The 17,640-nt window shown below is 42.1% G+C and overlaps 2 long non-coding RNA genes across 2 annotated transcripts in view, besides 1 other annotated feature; one reads left to right on the forward strand and one right to left on the reverse strand.

The window, feature by feature from the left end:
• LOC643339 (uncharacterized) overlaps window positions 1-17,640 on the reverse strand; it is a 373,979-nt gene that overhangs the window by 160,441 nt on the left and 195,898 nt on the right. The window lies entirely within an intron of this gene.
• Window positions 3,493-4,042: an enhancer, noted in NCBI's record as "OCT4-NANOG hESC enhancer chr12:93561467-93562016 (GRCh37/hg19 assembly coordinates)". NCBI's record gives its function as "activates a minimal SCP1, AML or CMV promoter by ChIP-STARR-seq in naive H9 embryonic stem cells {active_cell/tissue: H9 hESC(naive)}" and the evidence as "EXISTENCE:reporter gene assay evidence [ECO:0000049][PMID:30033119]".
• Window positions 10,168-17,634, forward strand: LINC02412 (long intergenic non-protein coding RNA 2412). Its single transcript, NR_120492.1, has 3 exons — window positions 10,168-10,778; window positions 11,702-11,831; window positions 17,107-17,634. It is a non-coding gene; the product is annotated as a long intergenic non-protein coding RNA 2412 (long non-coding RNA).

The raw sequence follows: 17,640 nt of genomic DNA on the forward strand, positions 1-17,640 counted from the left end.
CTAGGTTAGGTGCTTTATGTGTGTTTATCTCGGCTTTCGTGCTGATAACATCATTGGGTCAAGGTGCAGTGTAAATAAAGAAGGATGTAAATAAATGCTAGGTAAAGTTATTCCCATTTTATGTATGAGGAAACAGAAATTCACAGCATGACTCGCCCCAAATGATACAACTAAAAAGTAATGGGGCCTTGTTCAACTTCTGCACTCTCAGCCAGGAATGAATGACTACAAGTAGAGAGGAGGCAGCAGGCAACAAGAGCAATTGGATGATGCTTTGTGGTTTAATGAAGGACAGGACTTTCACCTACATTAACTCTTTTGGATCACCTGCTCCACCTACCATAAGAGGCTGATTCTCACAACAGCCTCTTATGGTAGGTGGAGCAGGTGATACAATCTTTATTTTACATAAAGATTACAGGGCTCAGAGAACTGAGGGACCTACCCAAGGTTGCCCAGCTAGCCAGTGGTAGAGACACTTTGACCCCGGCTTTCTGACAGCAAGCACCTCTTTTGGCAGCAGGTATGGGGCAAGGAGAACAGCAGGGACCTGGGGCAGGTGTTGACAGATCAATGTGGACATGGGGAAAAAAGCCCCAAAACCCCTCACCAAGGAAATGTAATGCTCTGTTATTTATTTAAAAAAAAAAAAATTTTTCTCAAGCCTTTGAGATGCACAGAAGAGGCCTGGCGTGGTGGCTCATGCCTGTAATCCCAACACTTTGGGAGGCCAAGGCAGGTGGATCACTTGAGGTCAGGAGTTTGAGACCAGCCTGGCCAACATGGTGAAACCCCATCTCTGCTAAAATACAAAAATTTAGCCAGGCATGGTGGCTGGCACCTGTAATCTTAGCTACTTGGGAGGCTGAGGCAGAGAATTGCTTGAACCCAGGAGGCAGAGGTTGCAGTGAGCCAAGATCACACCACTGCACTCCAGCCTGGGCTACAGAGTGAGACTCTGTCTCCAAAAACAAAACAAAACAAAAAGAAGATGCACAGAAGAAAGCAAGCCCAGTGTATTAGTCTGTTCTCACGCTGCTAATAAAGACATACCTGAGACTGGGTAATTTATATGGAAAGAGGTTTAATGGACTCACAGTTCCACATGGCTGGGGAGGCCTCACAATCATGGCAGAAGGCAAAGGAGGAGCAAAGTCACGTGTTACATGGCAGAAGGCAAAAGAGCATGTGTGGAGGATCTCTCCTTTATAAAACTGTCAGATCTCATGGGACTTATTCACTATCATGAGAATAGCACAGGAAAGGCCTGCCCCCATGAATCAATTACCTCCCACCGAGTCCCTTCCATGACACATGGGATTTGGGTGGGGACACAGCCAAAGCATATCACCTAGGTCGATGACAGAAGCAGCAGAGGTGCCTAGGACAGAACACATCACTCCTTCTGCCACAAGCATGTGCTGGAAATGCCTCCAGTCAAGTATCCTTAGAACAATCGTTTTCCCAGCTATTTAAACTCCACTGAAGTCAAGCACCAGCTTATTCCAGGCCAGGCTTTGCCTGCTAATTAACAATTCACCTGCTGGTTACTAGTTCCCACAGGGCCTCAAGTGAGACCAAATCCCCCAGCTGGAAGGTCCTCTTTTTTTTTCCAGCACTGCTAATTCAGCTCTGTTGCCCATCTCAAGCCTGGCTGAGAAGTTGTTCCCCTGCAGCCCCCTTAGTTGCCCCAGGGATTCTAGATGCCCTCTATATTCAAGCCAACATTCATCGTCTGTCAACAGGTGGTGGACATGTACTTTTATGATTGTACTCAGGTTCCTCTGAGTTTTGTTTTTTCAACCCAGACATTAAGAAATCCTTATTTCCTATAGAGGATTTAAGAAATAGAAAAATGGCATGAACCTGGGAGGCGGAGCTTGCAGTGAGCCAAGATCACACCACTGCACTCCAGCCTGAGTGACAGAGCGAGACTCCATCTCAAAAAAAAAAAAAAAAAGAAAGAAATAGAAAAATGAAATTAAAAAAAAAGATAAAAGACATTAAGAAATCCAGAAGCAGAAACACAACTTCTCCAGTATTTTCCAAGCCTGGCTATGGATCAAATTCACCCAAGCACCTTAAAAGAATATACAGATACAGAAAGGATTCTGCAGCAGAGAACCACGTTAAACATTACTTGGATGCCATCAGCAAAATGCAGACTCTGGAAAAAAAGAAAAAAGAGAGAGAGAGAGATGAAGGAAGATGAAGGGAGAACTTGTACATTAAAAGAGACTTAAGAAACGTAACAACCAATGGGATGTTTGAACTTAGTTGGTTCCCATTTCAAAAAACACAAGGTAAAAACAGACAAATGAAAAAAGAAAATTTGGGACATTTGAGAGACAGTTAAAATTTTGAACACTGGCTATATGATGATATTAAAGACTTTTTATTATTTCTGTTTAGATGTAATAATGGTATTGTGGTTATATTTTGAAAAGATTTCATATCTTGAAGAGAAATGTACTGAAATATTTTTGGCTAAAATGATGTGTCTAGGAATTGCTTCAATATGGAGGAGAGCGAGTGGAAATCCAGACGAAGCAGGAATGGCCATCAGTCGATGATTTTTACAGCTGGATGTTAGGTTCATGGAGGAAAGTGGGGTTCATTATACTTTTTGTTCTACTTCAGTATATGTTTGAAATTTTCTGTAATAAAAGTTTAATCTCCCCAGTTTTGTGAACTATTCTATTTATTTTATCCTCATCCTTTAACACACCTATGTACACGGAACTTCCTGTGTAAAATGTTTATTGAGTGTTTATTCCCCAGAGGAGAAGCAAAGAGGAAGTAAGAGTAGGATATTTTTGAACTATGTACAAATACAACCAGTTTCAGACCCTTTTATATGATCTATACTCATTCTAGACTGAGCCACATAGAAGAGCTGTTCCTGAAGTCAGATCAGCCTGGTTACCTCTAAAAGACCAAAAGACTAAACTAAAACAGCCTTTTTTTTCTTCTGTGGAAGCGTACATGTGTGTTTGCATGTGTACGTGTACCGAACAGCTGTCATGGACCTTTGTGCAGGCTGTGCACTGCACAAGTTTGTCACATCTAAGGGGGCATGCTTCACCTCATCAACACATTGCAGATCTATATATTTATTGTGACAACAGTCTTGTAAGTGGCAGCAAAATGTCTTCTTCTAACAAAATTGGTATTTTTGATAACTTTCCAAAAGATGGAAGCAAAAATATCTTAAAGTAGGGACTTCTTTTCTAATTATGTACTTATGGTATGGGCTAGCAGTGGACCTGAACTGACTGTCTTGCCTGAGTTTGAATCTCTTCCCCCAAACTCACTCACTGAGTTTGTTATTTAATAGCCTTGAGTTCAAGTTTCTTCATCTGTAAAATGGGATGATAATATTATGTACCCTGAGAGCACTGTTCAGAGCATTAAATGCATATAGACAGTATCTGGCCCATAGGAAGCCTTCAAAAAGTGTTAGAGATTAGCTATTACCATATCTGTTCACCCATATCAAATTTTATAGGTGTCGGTATGTTGCGTTATTCATAAACTCAACTAATAAATTTTGCAGTGGACTGAAAAAAGACTGTCTCCACTATTTCATGAATCCAAACTATTTTAAAAAGAGGATTTTCCCCTAACCATCAGTTCTGAAAAATGCAAGGAAGCTCAAGCTCCAGGTAAGCAGCCAGGGTTTCTAAGCCTCTCTGCGCACAGAAGCTGTGTGCATATGCTAATGAGGAACCTTTGAAGAAAAGTGCTGGGGTTTTTCCAACGCTCTAACTACTTGGCCAGTAAGCCTTTAATGATGGGAAAAGACCCAGTGGGAGTTGCCAGCCACAAAAGGGGTTTTACCTCACAGGCAGAATAGTCAAAATGCTTCAAGACGTTAAAAGCCTATTTTTAAAAGGAAAGAACACAGAGTATGTCTTTAACTTGATGTTAAAAATAAACTCAGCCGCCTCCTCTGCGTTTCCCACCCTCTCCCACTGTCCTTCCGTCCCCTGCACTGCCCTAAAGGAAAGAAAGAGTGCTTTTGTTTCATTTTTATTTTTCTCATGAGCTTTTCTTTCATTATTATTTGTTTACTCTTAGCCAAACTTGTTTTTCCGTTCACAAAACAAGTTGCATTTTTCTCTTAAAAATTCCTCGGGGATTCCCAGGAAGCAAGACGGATTATCAATTAGAACTAGCCCGTGTCAGGATGAGTAAAAGATTCGCGCGGAGATAAGCAAAGTGGAGCCCTTACGGCGTCCCTTGTGCCCAGAAAGTATCTGCAGGGGACGTTGTTCAAGCAAGGGGGCCTTTTATTTATTTTTTATTTTTTTATTTTATGTATGTATGTATTTATTTATTTTTGAGATGGAGTTTCACTTTTGTTGCCCAGACTGGAGTGCAATGGCGCGATCTCGGCTTACTGCAACCTCTGCCTCCCGGGTTCAAGTTCTTCTCCTGCCTCAGCCTCCCAAGTAGCTGGAATTACAGGCATGCACCACCACGCCCGGCTAGTTTTGTATTTTTAATAGAGACGGGGTTTCTCCATGTTGGTCAGGCTGGTCTCAAACTCCCGACCCCCACGATCCTCCTGCCTCAGCCTCCCAAAGTGCTGGGATTTGAATGCTTTTTCATATTGGGGTTTAAGTACAGACACTTCCTGAGGCATGACTAGACATAGCAACACTACTTTGCTGAGCTGCCTTCAATAAATTCCATTAAGCAGCCATAAAATTCCAATAGATCAGATGTGCCAGTTTTTGTTCATGAAAAAGCTAATCTGTGTAGCAGAAAAGCTGCCAGCTGGAGTGGAAAAGCTGGATTTCTTATTGTATATTGATGGCGGAGGGATTTCAAGACCCCAGTGGAAGCCAAAGTTGTTGAAAGACAAGGAGACCCAGGCCTGTGCATAGTACTATGATTTCACTGGAGGGAAATATAAGAGATGAAGGGGTGGCTGAAGGCTTGAGACCCTGTTTACTTAAAAATATTAAAAAAAAAAAAAAAAGAAAGCCCTTAGGCAATATAAGATAAAGGAAAAAACAGCAAAAATCATTTTAAGAAATAAAATTCTGCCAGTGTGGTGGTAAACACCTGTAATCCCAGCACTTTGGGAGGCCAAGGCGGAAGGATCACTTGAGCCCAGGAGTATGAGACCAGCCTGGGCAGCATGGTGAAACCCCGTCTCTACAAAGATACAAAAGCTAGCTGAATGTGGTGGCATGCACCTGTAGTACCAGATACTCTGAGGGAGTGGGGGAGGCTGAGGCGGGGGATGGCTTGAGCAGGGTAGAGAGAGACCTGGAAGGAAGGAAGGAAGGAAGGAAGGAAGGAAGGAAGGAAGGAGAGAAAGAGAGAAAGAAAGGAAGGAGGGAGGGAGAGAGGGGAGGAAGGAAGGAGAGAGAAAGAGAGGAAGGAAGGAAGGAGGGAGGGAGGGAAGAAAGGAAGGGGAGGGAGGGAGGGAAAGGAAGGAGGGAAAAGGAAAGAAAAGAAGAAAAGAAAGAAAAAGCTCTAGCTGGGTGTGGTGGCTTGTGTCTGTAGTCCAGATATTGGGCAGGCTGAAGCAGGAGGATTGCTGGAGCCCAGGAGTTTGAGGCCAACCTGGGCAAAGTAGCAAGACCCCATCTCTTTAGAAAATTAGAAAACAAAGTTCCTGTCTAGGGTTGGCCTCTAACTTGCAGCATGACCTCAGTCCAGTGATTTTCTTCCCTACAATTTCTTTTTCACAAAATCAGATCCCTCTCTTCTTGAATCTGTTCTTTAATAGGAATATATAATTGATAAATTACATATAATTGAAAACAAGATATTACATCAGAGCGCTTAATAAGTGAAAATCACAGTACAAACGCATGCTTAAACACTGTTGAAATTTAATGAAGTAATTTTGACACATGTCTAGAAAGTCAGAAGGGAAATTTTGTTACTAAAGGTTGAGTTTGAGCCAATTGTTTTCCAATTTTCATGAAAGCGAAGCACTGTAATACAAAAGCATGCCTAGGAACACTAGCACCTAACTCAATATGCCTTAACAAATGAGTAAAGGAAGAATGCCAAGATTTCCAGCCTGCAAAGCTTCACCTCTAGGGAATCTATGGCCTTCTTGCAATGGATCTTCTAGTTTATAAGCTCACCAACATAATTTGACACCCAGTGAAAATGATATTTTCACCATATGTATATGCCACCATTTTCAAATGTGTGTAGATTGGTTGTGACTAATAAAATACAATAAAAAATTATAAATTTATCATTTGTATATGTATTAATAAAATACAGACTCATTTAAAACATTACCAAAATTGAGTCAATTGTCAACATCTATTTCTGGATCAACCAACTCTAAAATTACAATTTCTTCCAGCTGGGAACTCTGGAGTTTAATATACTATAGCTTTTTGTCATAAATTGATCTCTGCTGTATTAGTTCATTCTAGAAAGTGATGGAACATTGATACTTTGAGTAACTTGTGTGCCAGTAACAAAGTGCTTCCCTAAAGCACAGCCAGGAATCAAGTCTATGATTAAAAACATCTGAGTCAATAACTATTTATTTACTTATTTGTGTTGTCCTGGGAAGGCTTGAGGATGGCTTACCAAGATGCACAAAATTCAGCAAGATACCATCAGTTAAATAAAAGTAATGGGGGAAAAAGATAGGATAGAAAAATGAGTAGCAGGGCTGTGGTTAGGACATAAAAGGCGTTCTGTGAAATCCCACATTCTTCCAAGTGCTGGCCTATTTGGCTCTGCCCTTTGTAAGCAGCCAAAGGGAAGAGGAAACCATTATTAGATACATAACTCATATTAGCTGTTAATAAATATACATCAACTTCTTATAAGAAGCCCAACTCTTTCTGCTGGAAAGATGAGAGAAACTTCAAGAAATGGCAGCGTCCCCAACAACATACCAGTTGCAACAGATCAAAAACTCAGTTTTAGCCCATGTCCTCATGCCAGAGCCAGATTCAGTAACTAATTTTTTACAGACTTTCTCTAATGATGAAAAAGTACTTTTCCAACACTCCGTGAAAATGATCTCTTCCCTCTTGTTTAAGTGGGGAAACAGAGGCAGAGAACAGTGAATTGCTTCCACTTCATATACTAGGTCAATTGCTAAGATAAAAGTAGAAATAATTTGTCCTAGCTGGATATAATTACCTCCAGATGTGCATTTGCAGATTACATGATGATTATGAAGTGCTCTTGAGGACTCCTTAAGGTGTAATGGTGACCTTTGACTCCATTTCATTTTCTCTTCCATCCCCCTGATGCAATTTTCCTCACCCTGACTCTTATCCTCTTGCCTTGGTCACCACTGAGCACTCAAGGATGTAGAAAATAGATGGCCTCTACAAGGCGGAGGTCCAGGGGAAGCCATCACAGAGATGGATGAAATAGCAGAGCTGGAACACTCGGGCATGCACTATGGAGATGGCCTGGAATGAGTTTCTGAAAAGAGTCTGGGCCTCCAGCACCTCACTGCTGACCAAGAAGTCCAGAAACACGTCTGTGCAACTTCCACTTCCACGGCACCAGCAAATCACCAGGCCATTTAATAATTCACCAAGCAAATACGTACTGAGTGCCTTCCAAGACACCAGGTGCTGAGCCTGTGCTAGGGAATCAAAGGCAAAAAAGGCACAGGTGTGTCCCCATAGAAACTGTAGCTTAGCTGTAAGAGAGTCCATCACACAGGAATTTTAATATGGCATACACACATTGACTCTGGAATCAAACTCTTGAGTCCTACTTCCACTTTTGCTATGTGAGTAAGTCAAACTCTTGGGGCTTCAGTTTTATCGTCTGTAAAATGGAGATAGCAACTACCTTCTAGAGAAAGAGCCTAGAACAGTGCTGGACACAGTTCCCATGCCCAGACCACTGCCTTCTCCTGGGATCCTTATCTCTGTAAGAATGACCAAAATTTACTGTGCGTGTGATATTCCAGGCACTATTCAAAATATTTGAAGTGTGTCAACTCATTTTCCCTTTATCATAGCCCCATACAGAGGATATCACTATTATTTTCATTTTACACATCTGAGACATGTGATTCAGTGCCTGGCCCCAGGTTCTCAGAGTGGCAGTGTACATCAGTGGTTAAGGGGACACACTCTGGGACCAAACTACCTAGACTTTGCAACTTAGAAGTTGTCAGAGCTTGGAAAAAGTAATGAACTTCTCTGGGCCTATCTTCTACCTATTTCTCTCAGTTTGTTCCCCATCTTTACCGCGACCTCTGCAGACTACATTTTCCCAGGCTCCTGCCCATGAGTGTCTGGTTAGCTCAGCCGACAGGAAGCAGTGGTGGAGCTTAGCAGTAGGATGAGGGAATGTCAGGGTACTTAAGCCCCTCTCAGTTTGGGGTGGCTGCTCTGACAGTGGCTGCACCTCCTCTAGAGCTCCAGTTCCCGCTGGGCAGTCCCAGTGCCTCACCTCTGGTGACATCCCCACTTCCTTCTGTCCCTCCAACCTGGAGCAGCAGCTTCCTACTGTTTCTCATCTTTGGATTGTCTTGCATCCTCCATTTGTTTTTTGTGTTCTTGCAACAGACTTATAGTCAGAGCCCCATGTCAGACTTCCTCTGGTGAACTACTAGAGTGGCAGATGCACCGTGCTCCAACAGTCTCATCTGCTAAGTGGAAATAATAATTGTGTCTACCTCATATGGTTTTTGCAAAATTAAATGAGTTAATATATTTAACGTGCTTGGGACAAACCATGGCACACAGAGTGACAGCCATACTGTAACACACAGCCAAGGCACCAAAGTCCCTTTCTAGACCCCAGAGAGGAGATCCCCAAAGCCTTTGAGAATGAATAAGACTCAAGCAGGTGCAGAGAAGATGGAAGGACATTCGAGCTGTCTTAGTCCCTTTGTGTTGCTATCAAGAAAGACCTGAGGCTGGGTGATTTACAAAGAAAAGAGATTTCTTTGGCTCATGATTCTGCAGGCTGTACAAGAAGCATGGCGCCAGCATCTGTTTCTGGTGAGGTCTTTAGGCTGCTTCCACTCATGGTGGAACATGAAGGGGAGCTGGTGTGTGCAGAGATCACTTGGTGAGAGAGGAAGGGAGCAAGCAGAAGAGAAGGAGGAGCCAGACTCTTTTTAACAACCAAATCTTGTGGGACCTAAGAGTAAGAACTCACTGATTACCACAAGAATGGCACCGTGCCATTCATGAGCCATCTGCCCTCATGACAAAACACCCCCCACGAGACCCCACCTTCAACACTGGGGATCAAATTTCAACATGTGATTTGAAGGAGACAAGTATCCAAACTGTATCATAGGCAAAGGGATCAGACAACTAAGTGGCCAAGAGGTAAGAGAGAGAAGGGGGCCTTCCGGGAGCCAGGAAAGGGAAGAAACACAGGAAGACGGGGCATGCTAACAGAGCAAGGGGAGGGGATGGAGTCAGGGAGAAGGATGAGGCTGGAGAAAACAGAGCCCAGAGCATACCTTTTTAGGCATATTGGAGTCCAGACTTTGCCCTGACAATGGGGAACCATTGGAGCATTTTACTGAAGTGACACATTTGAATTTATGTTTTAGAGAGGTTTCTTTGGCTGCAGTATGGAAAATAGATGGGGTGGAAAGGAGAGATGAGAGAACAGCAGGAAGAGCTGTTAGGAAGCCATCGTGAGTGCCCAGGCAAGAGATAATAGCTTGGACTATAGTAGTGACCCAGGAGCAAAAAAAAAAAAGAAAAAGAAAGAAAGGCTCAAGTTATTCAGGAGGTAAAAGGAACTGGATTGGCATTGGATTGGATGTGGGAGCCAGGGGAGAAGATGACATCAAAAATGATGCTCCAGTTTTTGACTTGGGTAAATGTACAACAGCAAGCAGCCCAGCCGAGTGATTAGAAGCATGGGCTACAGTTTCAACAGCCTGCATTCAAAGTCTGGCTCTGTCCACAGCTAGCTGTTGAACCTGGGGCAAGGCACCGATTCACTGGGTGCCTCAGAGTATAAGAGAGGGATAATAATTGTATCTTCTGTACAGGGCTCTGGAAAAGGTTAAATGAGGTAAAGTATGTCAAATGCTTGGAACGGAGCCTGGAATATCACAAGCACAGTAAATCTTGGCCACTATTACATAGACAAGATCTCAGGAGCAGGCATAGTTTGTGGGGGTGGGAGCATCATGAGCTAGGTTCAAACACACTGATTCTGAGACATCTAGGGAACCACAGAACAAGTTCTGGGCTGGAGATGTAGATTTCATTTGAGAGCTGCCAGTAGTAGAGACGGTAATTGAAGCCATGGGAATGGAGGTGATTGTCCAGGGAGTGTAGGTAAAGTGAGAATAGATAAGTGCCAAAGGGCACAGTCTGGGTATGTCAACATTTAAGTGACAATTTCAGAAAGAGAAGCCAAGGAAGAAACCAGAGAAAAGCAGTTGGAGAAGCAAGAAGGCAACCAGAAGTGGCCTTGGTACAGCTGTGATGGGGAGACAATGACGAAACAGCAGGAACTGGCACTGAGAGTTATTGGTGTAGCTTGGGCTCTCCCCTCATCATCCTCTCCAGCTGGGAGTCATGTGACAGAAGCAAGAAGCCTGTCACAGCGCACATGTAAAAGAGCAAACTCCAGACACACACGTCTTATCTGTGCTGACGGCCCACCTTGGTGACTGGAAATGACACCATCCAATTTTTTCTGGCCGCAATGTTGCACCCCTGATTTTTTCCTTCATATGACAGACTTCACAGCAAATACTCCTACTGAGTCCAAACAACCGCTACGATTGAGAACAAGCATGAATCCGCCACCCACCTTCTCCTGGAAATAAGGTGATGTGTAGGTTCCTCATCTCCTTTCCAGTGTCCACAAACCCATCTGAGTAATTGCAACTTCAAATTTTTCTTTTCTTTTTTTCTGTTACAGACACTGATTCCAGAAGAGTGTTCCATATGCTATGCTTTTTTAAATTTATTATTTATTATTTTTATTTTTTTGAGACAGAGTCTCGCTCTGTCACCCGGGCTGGAGTGCAGTAGCACAATCTCAGCTCGCTGCAACCTCTGCCTCCTGGGTTCAAGCGATTCTCCTGCCTCAGCCTCCTGAGTAGCTGGGATTACAGGCACACACCACCACACCCGGCTAATTTTTGTATTTTTAGTAGAGATGGGGTTTTACCATGCTGCCCAGGCTGGTCTCGAACTCCTGACCTCAAGTGACCTGTCCACCTTGGCCTCCTAAAGTGCTGGGATTACAGGTGTGAGCCACCGCGCCTGGCCCATATGCTAAATTTATTAGAACCCCCAAGCCTGGCCAAAGGCCTCACTCCTAAGATTCTGGTGGCAATGCCAGCATACACTGGGCTCAGAGGAGGTCTTCAGATACCAGGAGGATTACTCTAATTCAACGCAGAAATGTTGTGAAACTGCTTTATATTCTGTCTAGCACAAGCAAGTGGGGGTTACTATTTTTGTAATCATTATAAGAGCCTTCAACTATATAATTTTGGGAAGTGGTGATAAAAAACAGAGTACTTCTCCCTTGAATTCTACCAGCCCCAAACTTTCATTAACATCCAATTAATTTTCTTAAAAAAGTTCAGCATGAAACTCTCTGCAGCACTTTGGCACAGTAGTATCTATGCATTTGGAATGACACAGTAATTTCTTATCCTAGGGAAAAAAAATTACTCTGTCAAAATGAATCTTTTAGCCTAAGATGAACTGGTTCCATTTCTCATTTCTCTTTTCTCAAGGTTATTGGGTTGCTGAACTCCCATGAACCAAAAAGAAAACACTGAATGGTATCCAAACCAGCCTGGAAAGGACAGCGAGAAAAGCCAGAACCAAGGCTGACCAGCCTGAATGCTGGTAAATGTTATCAAGGTAACAACTTCTCATGTATCGGTATGTGACCAATAAAAAGGGAATGTGCTTGATTAGCAAAAAGAATCTCCATGAAAAATAAGGCATATTAGCATGATGACTTTATTATACAGCAATAACATAAATGGCAATCCACTCTTGTAGAATATTTGTGTTGAAATTAGGAAATGGCAGCAGATTCAAACACAAGAGTTAATGGAAGCCCTAAATATAGATGATATTCCATCTGGCTGCCAAGAGCCTGCCTCAGCACATTAACCAGAAGACCAAACCAGAGAAGGGAAATAGCTTTTAAAAGTGCAAAAGAGAAAAGAGATTCACTTAGAATTTTATCTGGTAAAAAAAAAACATCTAGTCATAGGATGAGGAGTCATCTGTTTCATGGACTATTTATGACTCAGATGTTAATTCGGATGCTGTCTTTAAATACATGGAGAGAAGAGAGAAATTTTCCCCCTTTATTTAGGCTTGAAAGAGTTTTGTTGAAGCAGGTAGCTCACAGCTGGTAAGTGGCATTCAGTTGTTTAAAATAATTTATATGATTTGGCTTTCATATTTGCTACATTTGTGCAACAAACAGAGCTGCTGTTTTGATTCCTCCAAAACCATTTTAAACTCTAGCACCATGGGGACCATGTACCCTTAGCATTTTGCAAGAGTTATACTTTGCACTAAATGAACAGCAAGCCTGTGTTTACAAAACAAAATTATTTTTTTCCAGTTTCAGTTTTGCTTATTAACAAAGTAGATATTTCTCAAGTCAAAATTTCTCCTTTGTTTATGGTTGGAGATCTTGGCCCTGATGAAAAAACAAAAATCCACTGATGAGTACAGAAAATCACCACCATGCAGACATCTCTCTTTACAACAATCCTGTGGCTCACAGAGCCATCATGATTGCCAGTGTCCTCGTAGAAAGTCAACAATAGCTATTTGCAGTTGATTCGGTTCCTCTGTTTAGGAGATTTTTTGTAGCATAAATAGATTACAGTGTTTGCAAAAATGTGTGTTTATGGTTGACCCTTATGCTTCTCAGAATCTGTTTGGAGTACTAAGGCATGCTATCCTGGGTGTGTTGATTTCTCTTTGTGCAAACTCTGCTGAAAACCAAGGGCAATCAACAGGATGAAGAAAGTTTAATTCAGGACCCCGGTTGATAGAGATTACCTCTGGGTCTAAGGTCAGGGATGCTTTAGTCCTCCTTGTTAGAATCTCCAGGGAAACCCTAACTCCCAGATATTAATCAGATCTGTAGAACCCTGCTTAAAACCTTCCAGTGGCTCTGAATTACTCTTAAATAAAACTCCTTACCCTAGCTGATAACACAGTATATAATCTGACCTCTGTTCAGACCTTACCAGACCTATTATGCGCTGTTTATCCTGAGGCCTCTCACCTTGACCTGCAGAAGGCTGTCTTCTCCCTTTGTCTTCACATGACCTTTCCTCTGTGTGTAACTGTGTCCTAATCTCTCTCTTCTTAGAAGGACACCAGTCTTACTGGGTGAGGGCCCACCCAGAGGACCTCTTTTTTGCCTTAATTACCTCCTTAAAGGCCCCATATTCAAAGACAGTCACATTCTGAGGTACTAAGTGTTGGGACGTCAACATATGAATTTTGGGGGGCTATAATTTGCCTATTCTGCACATTTCATATAAATGGAATCGAACAAAATGCGGCCCATTGATTCTGGCTTCTTTCACGTAGCACAACGTTTTCAAGGTTCATCCAAGTGGTAGCAGGTATCAGTGACAGAGCAGGAGCACCGTCATCTTGGACAAACATCGCCATTTCAAGTTCCGGCTCCTTTTCTAATCTCAGGCATTTCAAGGAAATCACTTCTCTTCTAACAACAAGCAGCCAGAAAGAGCAGACAGTAAAACACAGATAAGACAGCTCAGGCACAGAAGGTGGGGGGAAAGTCTCTTGGGTAACTGCCAAACTTCACACTCATACAATGGGCCCCAGTAAAACAGTGGGCCCTAATAAGCACATTCCTTTCCCTTTAGGTACACTAAGATAGGGAAGCTAAAAGCAGGCTTGGGTATGCCTGCAGCTGAAAAAAAAAAAAAAAAAAAAAAGGATAGAAACAAACACAAAAACTCCCTCTCAAATAAGCAAGACAAAGAAACACAGAAATATTCTGAGCCTGTGATAAGCTCTCCTGCCCTAAACCCTTAAATACTCTTAGTCTGTAACAGAGAGTGCCCCTGACCTAATTCAGCCAGAAGCCCCTCTCGGGTTTATTCTCCAAAATAAACCTGTTTTTAACTGTGAAGCCACTTTTCATGTTTCTTTCTTCCTTATTCAACTCTTACTATCAGTACTTTCTTCTTTTTTATGACTGAATAGTATTTCACGGTATGGCTGTATCACATTTTATTTATCCATTCCTCAGCTGATGGAGATTTGGATTGTATTTGCTTTTTGCCTGTTATAAATAATGTTGCTATAAATGTTTGTGTACAAGTTTTTGTATGAACATACGTCTTCAGTTATTGTGAGTATATACCTAGGAGTGGAACATTCTGGGTCATAAACACACATAACTTTGTGTTTCCCTTTTTGAGGACCCACCAAACTGCTTTCCCCAGCAGCTGCCAGCTGCATCATTTTACATTCCCACCAGCAATATATGAGGGCATGTTTCTAGAGATTACATAATCACAAACGAAGGGCATTGTCCTTTATAGCCTGCTGAAGTTCAAAAGAGAGAGGAAGAGATGTTCAAGTAAGGAAGAGATGTTTTATTAGGAATATGAAGGGTTCACAAAGTCCTGCTTACTCATTTTCAGCCAACTTTGCCATGGCATTATTTAATTAGCATTTTCACCTCATCTTCAATCTTAACATGAATAGCCTGGGTCTCAAGGCCATCTTTTCCCAACCAGTATAAGCACCTTCGAGACAGCATTCAATATGTGTCAATTTATTTCCTATTCAATAAGGAAAATTAGGTCTTGCTTTGCCCACTCAGCTTTATTCCTGGAAATACACTTTTCAAAAAGTAGAAAGTTCAGTCTTGCTTTAAACCACCAAGCTGCCTGAATGGATTTCATCCATTATTTGGGCTTTATTTTAAACTTTGCTTTTAATAGGCACAGAACCAATGCATATTTTAAACTTTTGACGCAGGCAAATTTTATATGTCCAAAAGACTCTTGGAAGTTAAGCAGACATAAGGGGTACCGTGTGTGTGTGTGTGTGTGTGTGTGTGTGTGTGTGTGTATCACAGAATGAGGGGCACATGCTGCCAATTTAGTAATTAATTATCAACTAACAGAAGGCCACTACCTATACTGTCTGTGGCAGCCAGAGCCTCACCACACTGACACCAAGTTGCTGTGCCTCCTTGACAGAAAGTAACACAGATTGCCATCAATGGATAGACAAAAAAACTCTGAATCTATGGTTATACGTGTGCATCTTACAAATGGAGTAACAACAAATAGAAGAAATATATTTACAAATGAAAATGAACCCGCATTTATTTACTTCACTAAAACTGTTTTTTTTTCTTCTCATCAAAGATTTCTCTATTCATGCTACTCAACATCCCAAAAAGAATCAGCATAAGGCCACAAACTCAACAAAATTCCTTCTCCTGTTCATTAAACTCCTGTCCTGACTCCAAGTTCACACCTAAATAAACAGGCAAGCCTGTGCTCTGCACCCTGAGGAACAGTCTCCTAGGCTTTGTCCTTGCAGAGAGCCCATTTCCAAGGACAGGCCGTCCATCTACCCAGCTTTTCTCAAGGCCACATAGCTCCTCTCTAAAGACAGCCATCCCCAGGGGTTCAGTTGATCCTGACAGCTGCGCCTACAGAGAAAGAAGGGAAGAGAGATGGGAGAGGAAGATCTCCCAGGAGTCAGGATGCAAGGTGAAGCCAGCTGTTGATCAGCGGTCACTCAGCAGCTAGACCATGCGACACTCTCCTTCTGAAGGCTGCAGGCTGTGAGAGTGTTCTGAGTGGCATTTAAGGATAGCTCCCATGCAGCGTGCCAGCTTCGGCAGGGCCTCCTATGGTAAGCCCTAAAACACAGAGGGAAAAGAATAACCAAGTGGAAGTGGATCATCATGCCATCTATCAGAGACAATGCATGTGAGAATGCTGCTACTAAATGAATGAAAAACGCTTTGTAAACTCAAAGTCTGTGGTTCTCAAACTTGAGCATGTATCTTTTTTTTTTTTTTTAAATTAAAACGCTGATTTACTTGGCCTTATTCTAGAAGTTGGATTCATTCGGTCTGGGGTAGGACCTAGAAATTTGCATTTCTAACATTGCATTTCCCAGAGGATCTGATACTGCGGGTCAGCGGCCACACTTGGAGAACTAGTTGCTAAAACACAGGATCCATGTCAGCTGAAGCTATAATGGGCAATCATGAGCCATGCCCAGACTGAGCAGTAAAAGGAAACAATGTTACTGTCTAAAACAAGCAAGAAAATAATAGAATATTTAAAAATAACAGAATATATAATGCTTGAGTTGCCAGTAGCAAAGTGTTATGATTAGGTCCTTGAAGTCGGAAAAAGCAGAGATTAACTAGACATTTCTGAATAAGCCCTGTCCTCTAACTCAGCAGAAAGGAAGAGACCAAGTCCATCATCCTCTCAGTAAACCATTAGCCCTGGAGCATTGGCTTTCCCTCTTCACAGATGAGGAGTTCCATCTTCTAACTCACACAGAGCAGGGAGAGGATAAGAGCTGAGGAAATGCCATCAGCCCTCAGCTGGTGACTGTCTCTACTAGTAGTGCCTCATATGGGTATAAGGCTTTGTGGTTTTGAAAAGCTTTCCAGTGATCAAAACAATGTGACATGGGTGAAAGAATAGACAAATGGACCAACTGAACAGAATAGAGAGCCCAGAAAAAGACCCGCCCAAATTTAGTCAACTGAGCTTTGACAAAGGAGCGAAGGCAATACAGTGGAGAAAGGACAGTCTTTTCAGTAAATGGTGCTGGAACAACTGGACATCCACATGCAGGAAAAAATAAACTAGAATCTAAACCAAGACCTTACATCTCTTTCACAAAAATTACCTCAAAACGGATCAAAGACCTAAAGGTAAAAATGCAAAACTGTAACTGGTGACAGCCAGAAAGAAAAAATAATAATTGAGTGACTACTAGTGCCAGCTATCGAGTTAAGTACTTTTAATAGCTTATCGCATTGATTCTAAACTCTGTACACAATGTATTATTCCCAAATTGCAAATGATGAATTTTTTGCCAGTGATAAAGTATAATTTCTCTATGTTATTCCCTATAGAATCTGGAGCAGGAGCCTCAGTCTCCTATCAAAAGGAGAAGAACCTGAAGAAAACACTTCTCTTCCTTCTCTCTGCCTAGGGGCAGTGACCTTGGATTCAACCACCATCATCCCTTCCAGACACCAGAGGGGGGAGTCCCACAAGGCAGAAGGTGCCCCTGTGACCCATCCACTTCTCTTCCATGTTCTTTACCTCCTTGCTCAGGAAGCCATAAAGTTGAGCTGAGTGGAAGGTGAATTTCATTGCAAAGTTTACACAGGCTCTGCTGACAGGTTCATGAAAACACTACTGAATATGTTACATACCACCAAGGCTCACAGCACATCCTGTGTTGGAAGTGATACTTTTCCATTACCAGTAAACCTCCTTTTGTCCTAGGAGCTCACTGAACAGCTAAAATCAGGTGATATTTTTATGTGGAACATGCAACGTATTAAGTCCTTTTGCTCAGTGACCCAAAAAGGAACTAAACGGTACCCAGACTAGAAATCAATGTCAAATTATTCAAATAAATTCCACTTAAAGAATGGTGG

Source organism: Homo sapiens, chromosome 12, assembly GCF_000001405.40.
Source record: "Homo sapiens chromosome 12, GRCh38.p14 Primary Assembly".
Lineage (NCBI taxonomy): Eukaryota > Metazoa > Chordata > Mammalia > Primates > Hominidae > Homo > Homo sapiens.